General features: G+C 42.7%; 1 protein-coding gene and 1 long non-coding RNA gene across 18 annotated transcripts in view, besides 3 other annotated features; both read left to right on the plus strand.

The window, feature by feature from the left end:
• PALM2AKAP2 (PALM2 and AKAP2 fusion) overlaps window positions 1–24,802 on the plus strand; it is a 531,726-nt gene that overhangs the window by 500,004 nt on the left and 6,920 nt on the right. For 6 of the 17 annotated variants that reach the window (XM_047423410.1, NM_007203.5, XM_047423412.1 and 3 more), the window contains 2 exons: window positions 15,529–15,707; window positions 21,304–21,342. The exons of 5 other annotated variants lie outside the window; for them this stretch is intronic. In XM_047423410.1, coding sequence (XP_047279366.1) covers window positions 15,529–15,707; window positions 21,304–21,342 — 218 coding nt within the window. The remainder of the gene's footprint in view (window positions 1–15,528; window positions 15,708–21,303; window positions 21,343–24,802) is intronic. 6 more of the 17 variants (XM_047423411.1, NM_147150.3, XM_047423413.1 and 3 more) reach the window with 1 other exon arrangement.
• Window positions 7,642–7,891: an enhancer, noted in NCBI's record as "active region_28782". NCBI's record gives its function as "activates an Ori minimal core promoter by ATAC-STARR-seq in GM12878 lymphoblastoid cells {active_cell/tissue: GM12878}" and the evidence as "EXISTENCE:reporter gene assay evidence [ECO:0000049][PMID:35858748]".
• On the plus strand, window positions 8,943–15,413 carry LOC124902244 (uncharacterized). The gene is made up of 2 exons (XR_007061727.1): window positions 8,943–12,963; window positions 14,290–15,413. It is a non-coding gene; the product is annotated as an uncharacterized LOC124902244 (long non-coding RNA).
• Window positions 16,203–16,252: a silencer, noted in NCBI's record as "silent region_20172". NCBI's record gives its function as "represses an Ori minimal core promoter by ATAC-STARR-seq in GM12878 lymphoblastoid cells {active_cell/tissue: GM12878}" and the evidence as "EXISTENCE:reporter gene assay evidence [ECO:0000049][PMID:35858748]".
• Window positions 21,312–21,451: an enhancer, noted in NCBI's record as "active region_28783". NCBI's record gives its function as "activates an Ori minimal core promoter by ATAC-STARR-seq in GM12878 lymphoblastoid cells {active_cell/tissue: GM12878}" and the evidence as "EXISTENCE:reporter gene assay evidence [ECO:0000049][PMID:35858748]".

A 24,802-nucleotide genomic window follows, 5' to 3' on the forward strand; every position in this document is an offset into this window, starting at 1 on the left:
CCTTACCCTCCCTGGGCTCCAACACTACAGCAGGTACCATCTTATTCAGCCTGGCCTAGTGACTTTTGGACTGAGTTGTTTGGGAAGGAAAGGAAAGGGAGGAAGAAGAGGAAGAGTGCAGTGACTTTCTTAATATATGCCATCAAATTGGTGATAAAGTTTCAACAAATGAATAATGGGGGGGCGGGCACAAACATTCAGACCGTAGCATGAGTATTTTCAGGCTTCTCTGTCTCTATCTCTTAATCGAACCCCTCACCATATTACCTCCAACTTTATTTCTAGCACATAAACAACTGTCTAATATAAAGACATTTCAATGCTTTCTCCTGATTCCCCCACCGGCTGTTGTCCATCAGGCTTCCCCACCAGGACCGAGGTTGCCTTAAACAAGTCAGCATCCTAAGGCTTGCCACTGGCATCCCAGCAACCCAGTATCAATCTCCCCAGTACTTCCCTCTATGCTAATGCTGATCTCTTCTCCCATATCCCACCCCCATAGGATTGATTTCTGGTCCCTACAAGGGGATGGTAATTCATCCGTGCAAGTCTGTTCCAATCTTGATGTCGTATTGAGTACAATCATGATAATGATATGCATACATGTCATTCCTTCATGTTTATCTCTAGAACATTTAAAGCAGGCACCCGGGCTTCCCAGAATTACAACATGAGTTGAAAGAAACGGAATGTAAAATACAATTTTCTTCCTGTTCATGCCTGGAAATCTTTGGAGTATTGCTTGGCTGGCCAACCTCCAAGTTCATGATCGGGGAGAAGGCTGACACGTGACTCTGAGCAGCCAAACTAGACAATTCATGGCTAGGGTCAGAACTCCTGGCTTCAGTGGTTTTGTGAATGGAGGTGTTACCAAGTTCCTGCGGCACATTTCATATTTCATGCCAGAAGAAGTGACTCCACTAGTTTGTTGTGTGACTCAGATTGATGATTGGATACTAGGTGATGAAAAATATAATTTTTAACTTCTCTGGTAGAAATCATGCTGGTGGCATGCTGGAATCCTAAAACCTTAAAGCAAATAAAATCCACTGAGAGCCAAGATGTGGTAAGGAAGGAGAAATCTTCTAATTCTTTCCATACAAAAGTTATCTAGACAGAAACCCCATCCCCCTGGTGTGGAAATGCTATTTGTTTTTGCTTTTAGTGCTTTTGCTTTTAAAAGATGGACAATGAATGATAGAAGTTCTGTTTTGAAAAGGATATAGTCATTGTTAATGACCGGGTATCTAGAAATTATCTTGTTGGTTCTTATTTTACTTTTTTTTTTTTTTTTTTTTTGAGGCAGAGTCTTGCTCTGTCTCCCAGGCTGGAGTGCAATGGGGCAAACTCGGCTCACTGCAACCTCCACCTCCCAGGTTCAAGTGATTCTCCTGCCTCAGCCTCCTGAATAGCTGGGATTACAGGTGTCCATCACCATGCCCAGCTAAATTTTTTGTTTGTTTGTTTTTTGTATTTTTAGTAGAGACAGAGTTTCATCATGTTGGCCAGGCTGGTCTCCAACTCCTGATCCGCCTCAGGTGATCCGCCCGCCTTGGCCTCCCAAAGTGCTAGGATTACAGGCATGAGCCACTGCACCTGGCCCTTATTTGACTTTTAAAGGAAGAAGCTCCACTTAAATAGAATTTGAGTGACATTTGTTTATACAGAGGTGAATAAAAATGTATAGTCCCTGCTCTCAGGGAACTTAATGGTTCAGTAAGAGAAACAACATTAAACAAATGAGGCAATTTTATGACAGAGAAGCACAGAGACCTGTAGGAGCACAAACAAGGAAGACCATATCATTTGGAGGATAAAGAAAGTCTTCCTTCCTTAGGAAATTACTGTCTAAGCTGAGAACTGAAGGGGTAAAGTTGGGCTCAGGGTGTAGGGGAGAAGGAAGGGCACCTAAGAGAGGCTCAAAAGGAATAGAGAACTTGGCACATTTGAGATATTTAAGAGTAAGTTAATGGAAGAGATTTAAAACAAAACAGAAATAGATTTGGAGCCAGACAACCAAGAGCTCTATCAATCATGTTAAGGGTTGTAGACTTTAGAGTTTACCCTATGGTCAGTGAGAAGCCAGTGAGAGTTTTTAAAGGAGTAATTATCTGAACACAACCCCAAGCTGTCCTGCCTTCACTGTGAGTTGATGGACTAAATGTCTTCCTATTGTAATGCATCCATTTCATAGGCTTGGATTGAGCTCTTCCTGCTTATGAGCACTTCCGAAGGCAGGCGCCATCTTGGTGAACACCCTGTATGTTATGTGAGGGGCCATGCTCCCAATAGTGTGTGCATGTGTGCCCTCTGCTGATGGCACTTAGAATTAGAGACTAAAAGGAAGAAGGCCAGGGGTGGTGGTGCATGCCTGTAATCCCAGCACTTTTGGAGGTGGAGGCAAGAGGATTGCTTAAGTTTGAGACAAGCCTGGGCAACATAGCAAGTCCCCATCTCTTAAAAAAAAAAAAAAAAAGAAAAATTACCTGAGTGTGGTGACACATGCCTGTTGTCCCAGCTACTTGGGAAGCTGAGGCAAGAAGTTTGCTTGAGCCCAGGTGTTCAAGGCTGCAGTGAGCTGTGATCGAACCATTGTACTCCAGGCTGGGCAGCAAAGTGCCAAAAAAAAAAAAAAAAAAAAAGGAGAGAGAGAGAATAAAGGAAGCACCTTTGCAGGTACATGAGCCTGATTTGAAGGGGTAACTCACACAGTGCTGTAAAACACCCTTGAGGAAAGAATTAGGGGGTGGGATATCCAAACATTGTATTGAAGTTGCAGTTCAAGACCTTTTCAAATGTCTTTTCATATTGGGGTTGCCAACAGTTCTCACTTTAGTATCTGTGTCTATTATTAGATATCCTGGTTTCACTTCCAAGTTCTAAGTATGCCAGAGAAACCCAGTTAGGTGATGATTTGTTTGGTTTTTTGAGAGTTTCTGTTTTCATGCCAGATGTTGAATTTATTTACCAAGTCAGATCATTCACCCCGTGAGACCTACATTATGGAGAGTGGCAAAAGAGAAGGTGTAGTTTGCTATTAAGTTCCATAACTTGGGGTATCTGTTCATGTCTTCTAATTTGTGGAAAGATGTGATAGTTATAAATGTTACTTTTGTAAGCTGTACAGGAAGTGTTGACTTCTGCTGCTGTCTGTTTAGATAAGATTAGACATGAGGTGATCATTACATTATTATAAAGATTCTTAACTGGGTCTCTGTTCTTTCCCCTTCATTATCTGCAAATATCACAAAGGAAAGTCTTAGGAAAAATATGTTTGCGACTGTCCACACATTCTTCATGAAGCAGAGCTTGGTGGAGTGTGCCATGCTAAATTAGAGCCACATGAGGCACAGTTTCATTTGAGGTGCCCTCATTGCTCCATGGGGGAAGTCCCTGTGTCAGCATCTGACAGAAGGATTGATGATGAGAGAGCTCTCCATCAGTAGTACACAGTGCCTCTCTTTCCTGCAAGGCAGGCACCAACTGTGCAGCTTGTAGGAGCCCTTCTGGCTGTGTGAAGCTAGCTAAAGCTTATTGTGGAGTGTCCACAGATGGTTATTGTCCACCACCATATTTCTAGAACATTCTCTGGTTACAAAAGTCTAATCATGGTAGTTACAATTTATCAAGGCCTTAAAGCTGCATATAATACTAGTTATTTCACACTTGTCATTTCTTATTTTCTCACTGAATCCTCCCAACAGCCCTCTAAGATACAAATTACCTCAACTCTTGAGGCCGGATATATTTCTAGATTCAGACTTTTTCTGATTTTAGAGAATTTATAAAGTATATACTATTATTTAGAAAAGTAATACAATGAACATACTATTATTTAACACAACTGGCAGGTTCTGGGTCAACACCCTGTGATCAAATTAAATTTCTACTCTAAAACTTGAGAAGAAGAATTAGTTACATTAAGTGGGTAAAGACTAGGAGACCTTCATGTCAGCTCATGTCAGGTTTTGCTGCCAAATAAGTTATGAAAAATCTTTCTTTTCAGAGTTTTTTGGATTTGGGAATTATATATGAAGAGTTGTGGACCTGTAATAATATTCTTTTTCAAAGAATTACTACTAGAGCCCAGAGAGATTAAGTTGCCCAAGGTCACTCAGCTTGAAAATGGGAGAGCCTGGTTTCAAACTCAGGCTCTCATTTGTCTCCAAAATCCATCTTCTTTCCCCTACCTTCTCCTTCCCATTTGTTGAGCCTGCTCTATGAGGTATACAGTAATAGCTTCTCTCTCCAACCTGTAGCTCAGGTTCCCTCTACCCTTTCCCAATCTTATGCCCAACCCCTGCATTTTCCTGGGTCCTTCTTGATCCTCCTTTTAGGAGCCACTGTGGCTCTGCAATCCTTCTTTTGCGGTGGCCTGGGTGTATAAATTTGACTCTCAGGGGCCATGAAACAGTGCTTCCCTAGTGACCCAGGATGATTCCTTTCTGCTTTCAGAACTCAATTCCAATGCCCCAAATTACAGTAGGCAAAAGCACTCGGGCTGTCCAAAGATCTGAGCGGATAGCCAAGGGACTAACTTAGTCCACATCAGCCATCTAGCCTAGCTGCTCTTGTGAGTTCTTTTTGAAAGTTATTTCCCAGGAAGAAGCTCTGCCATTTACTCCAGAAACAGGTTCATTCCTTGAAAACTTCGAAAGAACTGGGTACTCAAGCAAGGAAGAAATTTTTAAATTTGAGGATGAGCAGGGATAAGTGTTCATTATTCTGTTAACTAAACATGAACATTTTTGGTGTACTAGGGTCAAAGTCAACTAAGTTAGTTGACTGGTGATCATTGAGCACCATGACTACGTACTGTTCTCCTTGCCTTTTAAAAATTGATCTTTCTGCCTTGGCCCAGACTTCCCTGTGTTCTCTTTATCTAAATCCAGCAAGTATGTTTTCTTGAAAAATGCATGCCATTTGGAAAGGAATTGGTAAGAAAAGACTATGTTGAAGCTATGTTTGGCAAGGGGTGAAGGTGTGCAATGAAATCAGGACTTTTCAAAGTATAGAATTCCACATTCTCTTTAGATATTACCCTTAAAGGCTTGGAAAAGACAACTGCCATGGTTAAACCTGCCTGTCAGCCTCACTCTTCTTTTTTTTTTTTTTTTTTTTTTTTTGAGATGGAGTCTCGTTCTGTCGCCCAGTCTGGAGTGCAGTGGCGCTATCTCGGCTCACTGCAAGCTCTGCCTCCCAGGTTCACGCCATTCTCCTGCCTCAGCCTCCCGAGTAGCTGGGACTACAGGTGCCCACCACCGCGTCCAGCTAATTTTTTGTATTTTTAGTAGAGATGGGGTTTCACCGTGTTAGCCAGGATGGTCTCAATCTCCTGACCTTGTTATCCACCTGCCTCGGCCTCCCAAAGTGCTGGGATTTGGGATTACAGGCGTGAGCCACCGCGTGCAGCCCAGCCTCACTCTTGAGATCCTATGGGCCCAGAAGTCTTTATTCTGTGACAAGCCTGCAGTTACAGCTTCTGGGCAGCAGAACTTTGGAAAAAGCAGAACGTTCCCCACCAGCTGAATTCCCTGGTACAAGCAGGTTCTGCTGTTCCTGCTGATTGTGCTGGGTCTTCAGATAGATCCGTGTGTCTGGGTTGGCTCCTGCTGGTGCTGGGCCACCATGTGATGTCCTCATTGCCTACTTCTGCATGGCCTCTCCATGCTGCAAGTTAGTTAGGGGAGCATCTTATGAGGAATCAGACTCAGCCATGCACAAAAACAGATGCATAGTTTTCAGGTGACAGAGAGGAGGTGAATCAAAGAACCTAATTCTTGCAAGTTCCTTGGTAAGAAATAGGAACTAATCAAAACCAGGCTTGGGAGCAGGATGTCCTCTGTGACTGCTGGGGTTCAGGGCAGAATATGACTGTGTCTTTTACCAGCCATAGTTACTTGCTGTGTACTTCCCTAAGGAGACTGGCATTTCAGATCTATTTGATCTTTGTGTGCTACATACTTATGGGGTGGAAGGCTAGGAGGTGAGGTGGGGCAGGGAGAGAGTGTATGGGGCAGACAATTAGAGCACCAAAGAATATATGTGTAGTTCTTGTAACGAGATTTTCTTTCTCATGGCCTTGAAGGTAAACTTAAAAGGGTTCCCAAAATGTGTGTGTATCTAACTCACAAGTATTACCAGTCTCTCTTTTATTTCCCATTACTCAAGTATAAATCTATGTGCGAGGTGGCTCATGCCTGTAATCCCAGCACTTTGGGAGGCTGAGGTCAGCAGATCACTTGAGGTCAGGAGTTCGAGACCAGCCTGGTCAACACAGTGAAACCCCATGTCTACCAAAAATATAAAAATGAGCCAGGCGTGGTGTCACATGCCTGTAATCCCAGCTACTCGGGAGGCTGAGGCAGGAGAATCGCCTGAACCTGGGAGGCGGAGGTTGTAGTGAGCTACAATCCCTACTGCACTCCAACCTGGGCAACAAAGCAAGACTCTGTCTCAAAAAAAAAAAAAAAAAAATTATGTGTGATGGTCAGGGAGAATATATGCTAAAATATGACAGTCACTTCTCTGGATTCATATCTCAAGCTTCATTCCTGACTACCACTTGCTAGCTTTGTGACCAACTTACTTCACCTCTGTAAACCTCAGTAAAATAGGAATAAAGTTATACCAACCTCATAAAAATGTTGAGACAGGGCCTGGTACATAAAAAGCTCCCAGTAAGAGTTATTATTGTTGTTGTCATTACAACATTACAACATTACAGTTGCTCTTTTGTTTTAAGAAAAAGCTTAGAGGCTGATCGCTTGAGACCAGAAGTTCAAGACCAACCTGGGCAATATAGTGAGACCCTGTTTCTACGGGGGGAAAAAATAGCTGAATTTAGTGGTGTGTACCTTTAGTCCTAGCTACTCAGGAGGCGAGGTGGGAGGATTGCTTGAGCTTGAGTTCAACGCTGCTGTGAGCTATGGTCATGCCGCTGAACTCCAGTCTGAGTGACAAAGCAAGACCCTGTCTCTAAAAAGAAAGAAAAGGCCAGAAAGCCTTAGTAGAATTATTTGTGAGTTGCTCTTTTGCAGCAGTTGTGAGCCTGAAATAAATAACCGAACACACATGATAAAATTGCTTTCTATTCCTAGCTGGGATTTTTTTCAGTTACTTCCTTAGAATTAACATTTCTCTTAGAAACTTGAGGTCAGGAATAATGAGTTTTCAGTAGTCCACTATGATTCGAAAAACTAAAGAGTAAAAAGTCCATCATTAAATGTACTGAGTGAATAAAATTACATGTATTACCATAAAAATGTTTTCCTTCTGGGGGGAGGTAATCTTCACACAGCCAAGCCCACCATGCTAGTAGAAATGTATTTGAAGAGAGGATCTTGGTGGAGAATTACTATTCACCATAATTTTCATTCTTACTGTTTTAATTAACTTTTTTCCTTTTTGGCCTTAAACTCTGCTTGCCCTGTAAGAGCAGAGTTCTTTCTTTCCTTCTAGAGTTTTCATCATCTTCCAGTTGTGTTCATAGGTATAAACCCAATATCAGCAACTCATCCAACAACTTGACTTACCTTTAAGCAATAATATTTGACAGTTTCTCAGACTTGTTTGCCAAGCAGTGGTATTTCTCATTTCTGAGCTAAGTTTATAATCTGAAGATTCATATCATCACATTCTCCCACCCCTGGGGCCTTCAAAGGAGGAGATGAAAGAAGAAGGGACCAGCTCTTGGTGTGCGGGTCACAGCTGGAACCGCACAAGTCCGTGCACTCTGGGGCTGACAAGCAGGATGTTCCCTTGTACTGAGAGGAAACGAAATTGAAAATGCAAGTCTGAGCTCATTTCTTTCTGGTGACTTGTGGGTCGCTTCAGATGTTTGCAACCTTATCCCAATGCTGTGTGAAGAAAGGAGGTCATTGAAGGAGGCCCTGGCTTAGGCATGTCCTCTGGTGAGTGATTTTGTTCGGTTCAGTTTGGTTTTTAAATACGAGTGGGTGAAGGCTTTTTCTTTTATTTTGAGAAATGTGGAAACAAAGGCTCTTTGATTTAAGACCTCAGACTTCATGCATAGAGAGAGTAATAATCACCCAAATCATAATATCTGACCAAAATTTTCAGGACTTTTGGAATCCCCATTCCTGGCTTTTTAAAAGTTAGACCTGAAATCCAGAAGGAAGATTTGGACAGTCAGGGATGACAATAGCTGTATTCTGAGTGCATGCAGCCTTTTCTCGGGTTCTTTGGGTGGGAGGAATTGCAGATTCTTTTCTCTGCCTCCTGTCAGCACGGCTCGCCACAGATGCCCAAGGGAAATCCATCCGGCCTGGAAAATCCAGAAGCACAGCCAAGGCATGGCTTGCTTTCTCTGGACCACAGAGTGGTATAACTATTTATGATAAATAAACAGGAAACACCAATTTATGCTTTCCCACTCATGATGGGACTAAACTAGCTAGTTTGGAGTGAAACTCTTTGGGCTTCCTTGCTGCTTAGTCTACCTTGCAATGCTACAGTCTTGTGAGCACCACCATTGCAGAGATGAACAGTTTTTTTCCTTCTGAGCTCCTCTGGGTATGCACCGCCTGGGATGATGGAAGGGCTTGTGGATCTGCCTAGTCCATAAAAGTTAAAGCAAGCAGGTTTACCTGCTTTTCTCAGCGTGGGCTAATAATATTTACAAGAAAACTTTTCTGGTTTGTTTTATATTTTAAAATTAATTTGTGCTGATTGTAGAAAAAAATGTAAAAAGAATCAAAAGTGATTCATAATCCTACTCCCCCAGGAATAACCACCTTTCTAGATTTTCTCCATGCCCATAGGTTCATGGAAGCCAATATTGGGTTGATACTTGCATTCGTTTCTATTGCTGCTATGACAAATTACCACAAATATAGTAGCTTAAAAAATATGCATTTAGCCAGGCACAGTGGCTCATGCCTGTAATGCCAGCACTTTGGGAAGCTGAGGCTAGAGAATCTCTTGAGCCCAGGAGTTCAAGCCCTGGGCAACATAGTGAGACCTTGTCTCTAATAATAATAATTTTTAAAAATACACATGCATTATCTTACAGCTTTAGAAGGCAGAAGTCTGAAATTCATCTGCTATGGATGACTATCTGACCAAAATAATTTTCAGAACTTTTGGAATCCCCATTCTTGGCTTTTTAAAAGTTAGACCTGAAATCCAAAAGGAGGATTGAGACCAGCCTGGTCTCAATTGAGACCCCTGTCCCGCAAATTCGTATACTGAAGTCTTAACCCTCAGTGTGGTGGTGTTTGGAGGTGGGCCCTTTGGGATATAATTAGGTTTACATGAAGTCACAGAGTGGAGCCCTCATGACAGGATCAATGCCCTTGTAAGAAGAGATATCAGACAGCTTCTCTCCCCACCATGTGTGGACACAGCAAGAGGGCAGCTGTCTGCAATCCAGGGAGAGAGCCTTCAGCAGAAACCGACCATTCTGGCACCTCGATCTTGGACTTCCAGACTCTAAAGTTGTGAGAAAATAAGTGCGTGTTGTTCAAACCATCCAGTCTATGGTATTTTATGGCAGCTCAAACAAACCTAAGACTGGGCTAAAATCAAGGTGTCAGTGGGTAGTGTTCCTTCTAGTGGCTCTGGGGAAGAGTTCACTTTCTTCCCTCTTTCGTTCTGTATGCTGCCTACATTCCTTGGCTCATGGCCCCTTCCTCCATCTTCAAGGCCAGCAGTGCAGCATCTTCAGATCTCTCTCTCTCTCTCGCTGACCCTCCTAGTTCCCTCCTACAATTACATCAGACCCAACTGGATATTTCAGGATAGCTTTCCCATCTCAAGTACCTAAACTTAATCACAACTGCAAAGTTCTTTTTACCTCTAAAGCAACGTATTACAGGTTTTGGGGATTAGGACTTGGACATTGTTGGTGAGGCCATTGTTCTGCCCACCACAGGAGGCAACATATAGTGTTCATCTTATGCTGATTGAGTGTCTGCCATGTGCTATGCACTTTTGCTTTCTTTCACACAGTTAAGAAGTGGTGAACTAGGATTTGAACCCAGGCAGTCTGGCTCTCCCGCCTGCACTCTTGAACTCCTGCAATATATCTACTTCTGCAGTCTGCTTTTTCTCTTAATATAGTTTGAATATTTTCTCATGACCTTAACCATTCCTCTAAGTTTGAGAGTCTAAAACATCATTTATAATGGCTAACTAATACTTCATTGCCTAAATGAGCCATAGCTAACTTAACCATTCTTCAATAGGAAGATATCTTGGTGTAGTTAAAAAAAACACAGTGCTGAACGTTCTTGTACATGAGCTGTGTGCCCATACTTACTTATTAAATGAACTTGGGCCAGAAAAGTTCCCTGGAAGCTGGTTAACTACTGTACATTAGACAACAGTATTTCCTAAACTGTTTTTCTTCTTTTTTCCCCTTCTGTATTCATTTACTTACTTTAAAATTTTTTTCCCCTTCTGTATTCATTTACTTACTTTTAAAATGAGGTCTCACTATGTTAACCAGGCTGGTCTCAAACTCCTGAGCTCAAGTGATCCTCTGACCTCAGCCTCCTGAAGTGCTGGGATTACAGGCATGAGCCTCTGCACCTGGCTTTTTTTCTTGAGGCACTTAATAGATTCTATGAAGTGAGGTTTTCTGGTTAACTAAACTTAAGAAATGCTGCACTCCCATTCCTGAATTAGAGCTTCACAATCATATTAGCACTAAAACCAGAAGTCCTCTGGTAAACAAATCCCTCTCTCCCTCCTTGTTTTCTTTAACCCAGAGTTTCCCAAGCTTAATTTGACCAAAGATTTTTTTCTTTGAGGCATCAAGTAACTATCCTACAAAGCTAAGGTCACAGGACACAATGTTAGAAACACATCTTTGGAGTCAACCAAGTGAAGCCACTTACCCTCAAACTCCTTCAAAGGCTTAAGTCTAAAATTACTCCAGATGGAATAGTTTGAATATGATCACGTTTATGAAATAAACTTAAACGTTTCCTATCCTCCACTCGGAATTTCAGTCTAACATTGTTGTAGTGGTTCCTTACGTTCCTTATAGAGGTCACATTATACCTGTTCCCTGCTCTGTAAATGTCAGGGCTGGCCATCAGCCAAGACCAATACGGACCTGCCCTGAGGTCTACATGGCACTGTGTGTTCATGTTGTTGTTTAAGGATAGTGACCGATGTCCTTCAAGAGAGCCGTTCTGGCCGGGCACAGTGGCTCATGCCTGTAATCCCAGCACTTTGGGTGGCTGAGACAGACTGATCACTTGAGGTCAGGAGTTCGAGACCAGCCTGGCCAACATGGTAAAACCCTGTCTCTAGTAAAAATACAAAAATTAGCCAGGCATAGTGGTGGGTGCCTGTAATCCCAGCTACTCAGGAGGCTGAGGCAGGAGAATCGCTTGAACCTGGGAGGCAGAGGTTGCAATGAACCCAGATCACTGCACTCCAGCCTGGGCAACAGAGCAAGACTCCATTTCAAAAAAATGAAAGAAAAAAAAGTGTTCTATAGAGTGTTCAGTGCAGGTGAGGAACTGGATGGCAGGATGTTCTCATTGAAAATGGGGCAGATTTCAGGCATCACAAGCTATTGAATCATTACAGGTGAATAAACCAATAGCAGAGCAAAGTTTGAGGGAGTAAGCAAAGCTGGACCTGGGGTTACTGGGGAAGTTCTGGGTGAGATGCACACTGGATCAGTGAAAAAGAAGCACCAAAGATAACCATCATGGTTTGGGGAGTCTAATGGGGCATGTCCTCTTGGCCAAGGGACTTCAAGGGGCCTTATGGGGTCATGAAAAAGAATGTGATTGAGCTCCCAGGCCTGTGGCACAGACTATTTGCATCACATTCATTTAATGATCTTCAAGACCCAAACAGTGGTGCTGTCTGCAGTGTCCACTATTGGGGGAAGAGCATCCGGAGTGCTGTCACCGTCCTAATGGAGAGGACCTCTGGCTGCAAACTCTGGACCTCTGAGGAAGTTGTCAGGTGTGGAACAGGTTTCTCTCCAGCCTTTTGGCAGCCTGTGTGATTCCTAAGATGGCACCCAGAATTCTGGTGCCTGGTTTGAACCATACTTGGGGAGGATCATCAGAGATCACAGGGCCCAGCAGAGGAGCCTGGCTGAGCTAGCTTCCCTTGATACTGACCAGAATGATGGCCGGAAGTCTGGGGATGAGGCATAGTGTCTTCTCTCTCTGGGGACCTGTGATAGCCTCTCCTAAGGGGGTAGATAGAACCAGAACATGGGCTCAGTTATCCAAAGCGACCATTCTCAGCCCCCTTGTTCCTGGAAGCCCCTGCTCCAGAACTGCTAAGCCAGCCTTTCTTTCCTGCTACTTCTCTGACCTCTAGTGGCTAGAACTGGAAAAACTTGCTCAAGGGATGAAATCATCAATAAGCAGGAAATGTCTTTGATGTTAAATGGCTGTCCACTTCTCTATAGTAATCCTTCACCCTCTTTACAACATTCTTTCTGCATACATCCCATCATTTAATTCAGCCATCATCAACACTGGGTTTGGGCTCCAGACTGTGACTGTCACTGTCTTATGTAACTTGGGCTGGAGTTGGCATCTGAGCCTCTGTGGTCATGACATCCAGGTGTCACGACATCCACCCTAACTACATTCCAGGGTTGTTGCAAGGCTCAAATGACATGAAGCCTACAAAAGAAGTGGTATATAAATCCGCTTGTTACTCCAAAGCCATTGAGTCTGTGATTCTGTAAGCCTAAAATGTTTTAATTCATATATTTTGGTGAAGGCATTTAAGCCCTTTCCTCTGATTCTCTATGGGAGATTCTGTCCCAATCCATAAGCATTTACTTGTGGTTGTTATATATATTTCATAATGGACTTACTGATTACTCAACAAACATGAATTGCCTACCTCGTGCCATGTACCACAGCTACTGCTGGGATCTGGCAATGATCAGACAGGCAAGGCTCTACCCTAATGGAGTTTGCATTCAAATGAATTAAGGGGATTCATAGACAGGTGAAACATACCCCCCTGTCCTCAGGATGACATTATAGCTTAATTGAGAAGACAAAAGCTTCAATAGCCAGATAAGATTTAAGTCAGTATGTGAAAATGGCCTTCACAGAAATATAAACAGGAGTTCCACTGTGCTGTGTGTGAAAGGGAGAAGCTAGAAGCAATGAATATAGGCTGTGCTTTCTAGGTGTTTAACTCTGGAAGAGTGGCTGGTGGGAAGTGATCTGGACACTTGAGAGGTCAACTGGAAAATGATGAAAATTAACCTGGTAATTGGTGTCTATTTCTGGTCCCAGAAGAGATGCAAAAATTTTATGCAGAATATGCATGAAATTGTTCATCTCACCCTATAGTCACATTATTCTTTGAGATTCCAATTAAGTGGTAGCTAGAATCATTAGATGCTTTCTGTTCTGAATATTAACCTTATAAATATTAACTTTGTCCTCATAATAACTATCTGAGGGTAGGTACCCTTATCATCATACCCATTTTACTGATGAGGAAACTAAGATATCAAAAGAGTAAGTAACTTGCCCAAAGTGATTTGGCTGCCAAGTCATGGATTCAAGCCCAAACCGGCTGGCTCCAGAGCTTACACGCTCACCACTGTGCTATATTGTTTCTTAAGCCTTCAATTAAAAAGTCAATCGGAATTTTCAGAGATACATACTAAGTGTGCAGGAGTGAGGTGACCTGAGGTCTGGGATTGGTTTAAAATAATTCAGCAAGTCTAAGGAAGGAAGGAAGAGCCAATTATGCTAAAATCTTGATAAATGTTTACTCTGGGTGATGTTTATAATGTTTATAGGGGTCATTATAGCATTCCCTAATTTCCGTAATAAAAAATAGGAACTGTTTCTAGTGAACTTGGAGATTTTGAAATACTTATTATTGTACTGTTAATATCAAAAGACTTTTCAGTTATCTGGGTAATTTAGATCAAAGCAACAAATTTCACTGTTATTAATGTAATGTGGCCATGAAATGCAGTGCCCTTTTCTGTATATTAAAACCTATTTTCCACCTAATCCCCAAGTGTAACAGCTAAATACCTTAAAAAAAATCAAGAAGGGTGTATCCTGCCAAACATATTTGATAGAATAGCAAAACGTTTGAGTTAGAAGAGACCACAAAGATAACTTCTTCCAAAATTCCCATTTAACCGCTATGGCAGTTAAAGCTAGGAGAATTTAAGTGATCAGCCCACGATTGAAATGGGAATATGAAACGATGATCTATAGTCAGTCACGTAGCCAAGTACTGGAAGAGCAGGAGTTAAAAACCTGGGTTTCCTGGACTCCAGGCCTTTGTATCTCTCATCAGAAGGAGGTTGTGCCAGTAAAGGGCTAAGCAGCCCATATGGAAATGTGGACACCAGGCTTCACTTGTGATTCCTGCTACATCAGGCAGTTGCCAAGTTAGAAGCCTGGGATGTAAGATGAAGAAAGGTGAGTCCCCTTCGGCTTGGAACTGGAAGAGGTCAAATGGCCCTTTCCCCTCCCAAACGGAGCCATGCAAGCCCCATTTATCTTGTGTGTTTTATCCACATTCCTTGTTCACAGGTTTTAGCCGCATCAACCACAAAGGGCATAATTGGAAAAATCATAATTGTTATACTTGAAGATACTTCTCAGAAGTGCATTTGGGGCTCTGTGTCAATAAACCCACCCCATGAAGGGCCAGAAGCCAGGGCCAGGCATTTCTTGGGAGGGAGGGATGGAAATGGTCTTGGTGAGGGTGCGTAGAGTCACCACACCACTGTTGAATTAATCACTGACCTCATCTCTCCATCCTGAGGATTCTTGGAGGACATTGCGAGAGCTAAAATCTCCTCATTCCCAAGGCTGGTGTGCACCTTTTCCATTGCCTTTGTTGGTGTACACTTCTTAAGGTCTGGGAGGCCTCAAACCCCAATGTTTCAGGACCCCAGCAGGTGAGGTAAATGAATAAAGCTGGCCAGTGTAAGACCGGGGCAAACTGAGAAGAACAAACTTCATCCTTATTCAAAGGTTTTATAACACTGGGCTGTCTGCACAAAAAGCCTGGGCAGGTCAGCAGACAATTGACTTCCTCTGCTATAGAGGATAGACCCTGGTGAGGAAAGCAGGAGGCCTGGGTACCATCACTGGCTCCCTATGACTTGAGTACAGCCTTCCCTTGGCAGAGCCTCAAGCGCTTTCATCTGTTAAGAAGTGGGTCTGTGAGTCTCCAAGGTGCCACCACCTCTGACAGTCTAATTCTGTGATCTGTGATAGAATACATATCTCAAAACAACTGGAGCCACTGTCGGTCTGTCCAACATATATTTGCAAAATGCGTGCTGTGCCTGTTTGATCTAACTGACTTTTTGGAACTTGGTGTCCTTGAGATCTTTGGATGGGTTTGTGCATTAACCTTAAGTGCTTTGATCCCTGTAATATAATAAAATGGCCTACACTTAACCATCATTCTGGTACCACTCTCTGTGTCAGAGGTTGTTGCTCTTTTATTTGCCAGTTTTCTTTCTAAAAGCAGTCATGAGCAGACAAGCTTAGAAAGGGTATTTTCTTCGTGTTGTTTCAGGGAAAATAGAGAAAGTCAAACCTCCTCCATCCCCCACCACTGAAGGCCCCAGCTTGCAGCCTGACTTAGCCCCTGAAGAGGCTGCCGGAACCCAGCGGCCCAAGAATCTGATGCAGACCCTCATGGAAGACTATGAGACACACAAATCTAAAAGGCGCGAGAGAATGGATGATAGTAGTGTAAGTTTTTCCTCCTTTCCTCTTTCACTTCTCTGAGCGCGGCCATCGGTGTGGCGTGTGGCATTCCAGTTCAGGCACAAATGTGTATGTCGTTGTCTGGTCAGCATTAGGGTTCCAGTATCAGTTTTCATATATGTGGTTTCACATGCCTGGAACTGGGTTTGGGTTTTTGCCTGTTTCAAAAAAAAATTGTTGATCTTGCAGGGAGCTGGTCCTTTGCTGCCAAGTATAGCTGGAGTCGACCAGCAAGGCTAGTGTGTAAGATGTTTGGTGCATAGAAAGACAGCATGCAAGGGCCACGCAGGGAGAAGGTTGCAAGTGCCCTGAAATCATCCCTATGCACCTGGGAGCTGATTTCTACCATTGCCCAGTAGAGATTTTATTTCTCTAGAAAAGGATGAAGATGCTGTTCCTTCAAAGCCGACACTCTAGGCAATCCCTAACAATGTTACAGTGCTTAAAAGACTGAGTGTGTTTGGGGCTGTTAACAAGCCCATGTGCATAGCTTGAAAGCAAAGAGCCAGTGAAAATGACAGTTGAAAACCACATGGCTACTCTGCTACACCCAAGCCCTCGGAACTTTGCACATAACGTTCAAATTAACTGTGAAGGAAGTCACATGCTCTGTGGTTTCTTTCTCCGGTTAGAGACATAGGAACTGTTGCTCTACACAGTCCCAGGAGCCTGGAGATCAGCCTCAGGGTTCATGCCAACCTCCTGTGGGTCTTCTGGCACCAGTCTCTTAGCACATATTGAAGTCATCACCTCCTCCCCTGACTGCACTTAAGTCACAGATAGCTTGGGTTGGTTGAGGATCCTACTGAGTTTACCTGAGACAGTCCTGGCTTATGCCTGTTGTGGTGTTGTGGTTATTAATATCCCCTTCAACTCTTTTGTTGTTGTTGTTGTTGTTGTTGTTGAGACAGGGTCTGTCTCTGTCACCCAGGCTGGAATGCATTGATGTAATCATGGCTCATTGCAGCCTCGACCTCCTGGGTTCAGGCAATCCTCCCGCCTCAGCCTCCTGAATAGCTGGGACCACACGCGTATGCCACCATACCTGGCTTATTTTTTAACTTTTTTGTAGAAAGGAGGTCTCATTATGTTGCTCAGACTGTTCTTCAACTCCTGAGCTCAAGGGATACTCCCACCCCAGCCTCCTAAAGTGCTGGGATTACAGACATGAGCCACTGCACCCAGCCTGCCTTTCACTCTTGAAAGTGTCCCAGTTTGGGTGATAAACCATCTGGTCACCTTAAACTTGAATGCTATGAAGTTCACAGTAAGAATTCCCTGCTGTTTTATTGCCTTTTATATCCTAGCTGGCTAAGTTAAAGGATTTCTGGAGTTGAAGCCCAGATGCTGAAAGTTGCTTTCAAAATATATGGCGGTAAAGAAAGGAAGAAAGCAAATGGATATCTGGCAGCCTGGCTTCTCACTTGGCATCTCCCAGGCTTTCCCTTTTGTTTACACCTGAACTGCGTGGAGCACTGGCTCAGCTGCTGTATTAGGCTGCAGCTATTCTACTGGGCTCTTCACTGTATTAGACAGTGGGATGATGCCCGGCCCTGGGTAGCTGCTGCAGACATTTCCACTGCTGAACCTCACTGTAGGGGAGCCAGCAGCTCCTTTCGTGAGCCTGCAGGATTTTTCCCTGGCTACTCAGTCACTTTCACCAGCCCTTCTTTGAAGCCCCACTTCAAAGGATAAAGTTTGCCTTAAGAATTTTCTGAAAGTTAAATCATTTTGAAACTTGGTGCTCTAGGTGTCTGGTTTCTTTTCTCCCAGTGACTCTGCTCTATACATCAGCAGTTTTGGTAGAATTTAGCCAAGTGGGTGCCCCACACTCTGATGTGGATGGGGAAGAACAAGTAGAACCACTTAGCATGTGACCCACGCGAGTGTTTGCTGAACACACTCTACTTGTCACTTGTGTATGTCTTTTGTGTTGGAGTGCAGATGATAGGGAAAAATACTCCATACAGAAGGGTAGAGGCAGTTCTCACTCATTTCGTAAAGGCAGAGGGCTGGAAGCTCTTTTGTGCACACGCTGACACTCTGGCAGCCACCTAACAAATGCCAACCAGGTTGAGTTTTTCCTCTGCATGAATGAAGCTGCTTGGAATCAGCGTTTTAATATGCTGATTGCCCTTCACTTACAAATCAAAGAGGCAGCCTCCTGTCTCTATATTTTCCAGTAAATAAACATTTTGAAAAAGAAAGAGACCTAACTAATTAAGCTGTTAATATCCCTGGATCTTGGATTCAAAGCCAAATGTTTTGCACTGTTATTGCTATTACAACAGAACCAAGTTTGCTGTTGTTGAAAATTCTTAGGATCAGGACAAAATCTACCAATCCACTATATGCTCATTTAAGAGACCCAAATCTAAAACAACAAATTCAGATTGCTTCTAAAGCAAAGATATGATCATCAGTCAGGCTTCAAATGAGAGCCTTCTCCTAGCCCTTCCAATTTAGGGGACCTTTTCTCCTGTATCTGTGTCAATCACTGGTGAATGTGTTGAAGTTTACCTGTAGGGATGAACAAACATTCATTTTTTTCCTAACCAATCTGTGGCCCCTTTTCCATTTTTTCTTTTTCTTTAATACCAGAAGGATAGTAATAGAGAGCAGATGGATTGCTGGGGGGATGAGTTGTGTAACTGGCTTACCTATCCGTAGAAGCATAAAGTTAATTCTCTTAAAGGTAAAGTAATTCTGGTCTCTAGCCTCCATTTACATACACTATTCTCACAGAGAAACATGGCTTCTTAGACTCTCCACCCTCTAAGCACCTCAGTGGCTCACACCTACACACCCAGCATCTCCCCATGTTATGCAGCATCACCCCTGGCACCTCCATTTGCCAATATTTTTTCCAGTAAGCCACTTGGCAGCATTTTGGCATGCCGTTTTGGAGATGATAAACCACACCTGAGAATCAATGCCTGTCGCGTGATTAGAACACAACCATGTGTTTGCCCATCGAAAGTAACAGTTATTTGTGAATTGAGCAAAAATAATTCTTATTTTTTATTCTTTTTAAGGAGAAGGCAGAGTTAAAAACAAGACAGGCGCTGATCATTGGAATGTGTATAAAGTGTGATATGTTAGACACAATGGTATCGAGGAGAGTGAAAGACAGAAGGAGAAAGATAGAATGTAGCTACGGCTGAAGTTTTGCTGAGTGAGAAAAACTGATCTTTGCCATCAAAACAAGTTCAGTGTCCCCCGAGCCCCCATCAGGGGTGTGGTGGCCTCTGGGGTCCTGTCCACAGGGACTCAGCTCAGGGCCCTGCTCTCTCCAGTTTTCCACTTTATAAAAAGTCATATGCAGAGAGGCCCCTGGCTTATGGGAGTCAGGGAGTGGTGTTATCCAAAGGTTGTCCCCAACCAGCCATATTTGTTACTAGCTCAGAACTTGAGCAAAGTACTCCCTTTAGTTGCCACAGTCTTCACCCACCTGGGCTGATTTCTTTGTCCTGTATATTGGAGTCACCAATGAGTATCTCCAGCCTCACTTATTAATGGACCTCTTGGCTAATTCTGAGGGCAGGAGGATTACCATCCCCACCCCTACCCACTTACCCAAGGCTGTTTACCAACCTATGCAAGGCCTTTGTGTGAATTAGGAAAAAAAACCACCCTTGTTCCTCTATGAAGATATGAAGATGCAGCCCTGCACCAGCCACACATTTGGGGGGTAGAGTAGGGGACTGGGCTTTAGTACCATTCATCCCTTTAGTCTGATGCTTTTGTGCAGTGCACACAACACACACCCAGATGCAGCAATCCTATTCATATTGTGGGTTTCTCTTATCTGGAAATGTTCTCTTATGTGGAAATGTCCACTTATCTGGGTCTCATACCATTTCTGCTCAGTCATGCAATTCATAATGGACTAGTGAATCCTAGTTTCCTAAAGGGCTTCTTGATGCCTTGCAAAGCGACTGCCTCCAAGGTGGGGTTGCCCACTCATGGACCTGGAAGACATTTGGATCAGTGGGCACAAATGATGGGCTATTTGGATGTTTTTCCTTCAGGCATGAAGAACCCCTCTAGGAAACTCTGATTCATTAGTCCATCCTGAGTGACATGACTGTATTTAGGCAAACAGTATTTTTCCAGCCAATTGTTTCCCTAACCTGACCTGAGCCTCAGAAAGTGAAGATGATGGGTCATTGAGTCAATGATGCTCATGAACATCTCGAGGGTTTGCTTTGCCTTTCTCAGTTGAAGGGATGCTGACCAGAGTCCAAATCACAGCCTCCTGGATGTTCAGCCCCATCTTTACTTTTAGCGCAGGATCTGCCCTCAGTGGGGTTTTCCAGTGTGCTCTCTCTCTCTTTCTCATCCCATGACTTCATTACTGAGAGGTCATCCAACCACTCTGTCTCATCTTAGAACAAGAGAAGACCTCGTCGGTTTTCCTGGGCTACGTCAAAGCTGAGAGTTCCTGGCACACATTACCCTTCCAGACCAGGACATGCATTGAGAGTTGTGGCCATACTCTCGCTCAGTGTGTGAAGGAAGCCTATCTGCCTCCTGTTTCCCCAGACGCTACAGGAAGCTCAGTGATGCCTTGTGCTTCCCTAACTCTCTCTTACGTTCTCACTCGTACCCTAGTGAAGATGCAAAGGAGAGAGAAGAGCTCCTGACTTGTCAGCTCCCAGCCATTAGCCCAATCATGACAGAACTATAATTCCTAAGTGCTACATATAAGAAGCAGTCAGCAATCACAGATGTGTGATCCCACCTAACTAGTCTATGGCTATCAATGCCCCAAACCAATAAATGCTTTAAATGCCCCAAGCAGTGTAAATGTACGCTCATTACCATAATTCTGGAGAGGGATGTCCCAAATTGGTCCTGCCATCTCATTTTCCATAGTCAGGCCATTTTTTTCTGTACTTTGAGTAAGACTTTTAGTCCCCTATAGGAACTAAAGGATCATTTCAGTTCCTAAGTGCTCATACTAATAATCCTATATAATCACCAGAAATTGCTATCAAAGGATGATCCCACTCTCAGGAACTTACCCAGGCCCCCAGGGTTCTGACGAGGGAGGCTGTGTGGTCTCCCTAGGCAAGACTACCCTTAGGCCGGTTTCAGAGAATCTGCCTCCACAAACCAACTGCTGTGATTAGGATCTTCTTTTAATGGAACAACAGGTTACAAGACGGCTTTGGGGTTCAGAGAAGCCTACGGGAAGAGAAAAGGCTATTTGGCTACAGACTCTAGCAAATCCAAAATGGCCCCCAACGACCTTGCTGGTGGGCAGCTGATTGTGTACAGAGGGGAAGGAATCTTGTTAATTCAAAGTACAGAAACTGAAAGCAACGTTTTGAATTAACAAAGTACGGCTTATCTGATATTTTTATTAGTGAACAATAGGGTATCTAGTTGCTGCAAAGAATAGACTTATAAATAAACTAATATCAGATGGAGAAAGTTTTGGCATGGGTGTAGAATGGCCTCCTGGTATTACTTCCCCTCCCATCCTCTTCTGGTGTGGTGCCTGTTCCCGGCTAGGGGGTGTTCTGTAAGTGTGTCACTGCCATGTACTAACCCTGGTCTTTTCCCTCTCTGCCAGTACACTTCTAAGTTACTGTCTTGCAAGGTGACTTCCGAGGTACTTTTCAATTTGTTTGTCTTGGTCTTACTGAATGCATGATCCAGGTGCATGCTGTTGTGGTTTGCCATTTCCTGATGAGTTAAACGAAAATGGCAAGAAAAATGACTTGTCTCCATATGTATTTTTTTGTGCCTGTTCTGAAATATGGGACTGCCTCGAAATGTTGGAGTCCATGCAACAGTGATATACAATGGTGTGGTTTGCTGTGCTGTGCTGTGGGGGCGAGTGGGAGGGTACTGGGGAAGACCTTGCCTGCTCACGAATCTTGAAGACGTTTGGACCAGAGGACACAAGTGATGGGCTATTTTGGTTTTTAAAGTTTCTTTAGGCATTAATAGCAAGTATACTTGGCCTGGTTGGAAAACAGTGCAGCTCATGCAGATTGAGCTATGGATTTTCACCCATTCTTTGTTTACCTTAACATAAAGCTAGAAAGCTCCATTCTATAGATTTAAGATGAACCATCCTAATCTACAGATTTATCAAATGTAAACCATCCTAGACCTCCCTCCCTCCAATCTTTAAACGTGTATTTTTATTTTAGAAACTCTAAGCCTTGATTTCTCCAAAAGCCTCCTTGTTTAAGAGACAAGGTCTTACTCTGTTGCCCAGGGTGGAGTACAGTGGTGCAATCATAGCTCACTGTAGCCTTAACCTCCTGGGCTCAAGCGATCCTCCTATCTCAGCCTCCCAAAGAGCTGGAACTACTGGTGTGTGCCACTATGCCCAGCTAATTTATTTTTTTATATTTTTTTTGTAGGGACGGGGGTCTCGCTATGTTGCCCAGGCTGGTCTCAAACTCCTGGCCTCAAGTGATCCTCCTGCCTCAGCCTCCCAAAGCATTGAGGTTACAGGTGTGAGCCACTGTTCTCGGTCCCCAAAAGTCTTCTTTCCTTTTACACAGATTTCACAAATATATGTGCTATAAATATGTGTGCTATGAGAAGGCATAATATTTTTCTCTTTTAATTTTTTTCTATTTTGTCCATTTTTTCTTTTTGCTGAGAAAGCACAATATTTTTCATATTTTTATTTCTGTATTTTATTTTGATTTTAAAAGAATTATTTCAAATATACAGAATTCTAGAGAGAATCATTCGTTCATTCATTTAACAATTTTCAAGGCTCTACTATGTGTCAGGCATTGTTCTAGGTTCCAAGAATACAGCAGTCAACAAAACAAGTTCCTGATATCATGGAACTGGCATTCAGAATAATATAAGATAATAAAATAATAAAACCCACCTACCCAGCTTTGTCCATTCTTATCATTTCATGATATTTAATATTTTTAAAAGAAATTAGTATTGCAAATACAATTTAAGCCCTCTCGTACTTCTCCCAGTTCCCTCCTCCCTTACAATCTCGCAGAGGTAACTATTTTTGAGCTTGTTGTTCATCATTTCCATGCATGGTTTTATACTTATACTACAAATGTGTATATACATAAACAACACCTTATTTTTGCATGTTTGAAGACATTCTATAAGCGGTAAATCATGTTGCAGTATCTTCTGCTCCTGACTTTGTTCTGTCTGCATTGTTTTGAGATGTGTCCTTGTTGATCACTGTGGCTCTGGTTCATTCTTTATAACTGCTGTATGGTATTCCATTGAATGAATATATCACTATTTATTCAATCTTCTGTTATGGAAATGTAGACTATTTCCAGTTTTTCTTACCGTTAGAAATAATGCTTTTATGAATGTTATTATACATGTCTCTTTATGTACCTATGGAAGAACCTGTCTCTATATTTAGGAGTAGAAGCACTGGCTAGTAGCCTGATACATCCTAACATTTACTAGATATTGTAAATTATTTTTCAAGTTGGTTGCATTAACCTGTAGCATAATAAGTTTTTTGGTCTCTCTATTTAGCCAAAGAATTATATTTAAATATAGAGCTGACCTGCTGATTATCAGTAATTTTCTTTCATAAGATATCAAATGAATACTGAGAATATCATTCTGTACCTTCTTTAACGTCTAATTGTGGTTCTCATCTGGAGGATGGCAGTTTGAGAATTAGGACTAAGCCCGTCTCCCCTTTGAGTCCATTTAAAACAATGAAAATCTGGTCAAATATATCCAAGGAAGATAGAGTTGGGCCCACTCTGTCTTCAATTTAAAAGCAGGTTGGAAGATGAAATATAAATATTAATATGAATAGGGTGATATTATTTAACATATCTGTCTTTTGTTTCATATGTCCAAATTAAAATTTTCTATATTGATTGCTTTCAAAGTTAAGCAATTCACTTGAATTCCCTAAGCATTAGAGAGAAAAATTAATATTAAAGGGTTGTTGAGAGATAATTGTTTTTTATTCCCTACCAGACCTGAATGTGAATTTGTGAAAACAATAAAACTTTGTTTATTTATTTAGTTTACTTTTTTTTTTTTTTTTTTTTGAGACACCGTCTCACTCTGTCACCCAGGCTGAAGTACAGTGGTGCGATCTCAGCTCACTGCAGCCTCTGCCTCCCATGCTCAGGCGAGTCTCATGCCTCAACCTCCTAAGTAGCTGGGACTACAGGTGGCAGCCACCATGCCCAGCTAATTTTTGTATTTTTAGTAGAGACAGGTTTTCACTATGTTGGCCAGGCTGGTCTCGAACACCTAGTCTCAAGCAATCTGCCTGCCTTGGCCTCCCAAACTGCTGGGATTACAGGCTTGAGCCACTGCACCCAGCCACAATAAAACTTTAAATCAGATCGTTTTTTGTTTTCCCTTTTCCATTTCCATGGGGAGTGTTGATTGCTCTTCTCTGGTGTGTCTCCTTCTGGACTCCTTACAGCCATTGGGCAGCCAGATAGTCTGGTGGCCTCAAGCATCAACTCTGCACCCAGAGTGCAGAGTTCAAATCTTGGTTTTGCCTTCTGCTAACTGGGTAATTCTGGGCAAGTTACTTAACCTCCCTGTGCTTCAGGTTCTTCATATAAAAAATGGGAGTAATAACAGCATAAATGTCATAGACTAGTAGTGAGGATTCAAACAGTAACATCGTACTTAGGACATGAGTATGACATTATTAGAGCCCCAGAGACATATGCCTTTTTGCCCAGAAAATAAAGGAATGAACTTTAGAAAGTGAAGTTAATATGCAGTAATAAACAAGTAATAAAAGCTCTAAATTTGCTAGAGATTCACACACACACACACACACACACACACACACACACACACACACACGTCTGAATTAATTACAGAACAGATACTCATTCAAATACCTTGATTTTTGAATCTTCTGAAGACCAGTTGTGGTGCAGCTTTACTCCCAGACACCCCTGGGTCATAAGCCTTATGAACCCAAAGACAGCTTTATATCAAGATTGCCAGGTATTTCAGTAAGGATGTTTATTTTCTTGTCTGTGCCATTACTAGAGGCTTTAGATTTCACTAGAAATTTATTGTATGGCCATGGTAAGTGATTGTATGACCATGGTAAATGGGCA

Source organism: Homo sapiens, chromosome 9 (genome assembly GCF_000001405.40).
Source record: "Homo sapiens chromosome 9, GRCh38.p14 Primary Assembly".
NCBI classification, from domain to species: Eukaryota; Metazoa; Chordata; class Mammalia; order Primates; family Hominidae; genus Homo; species Homo sapiens.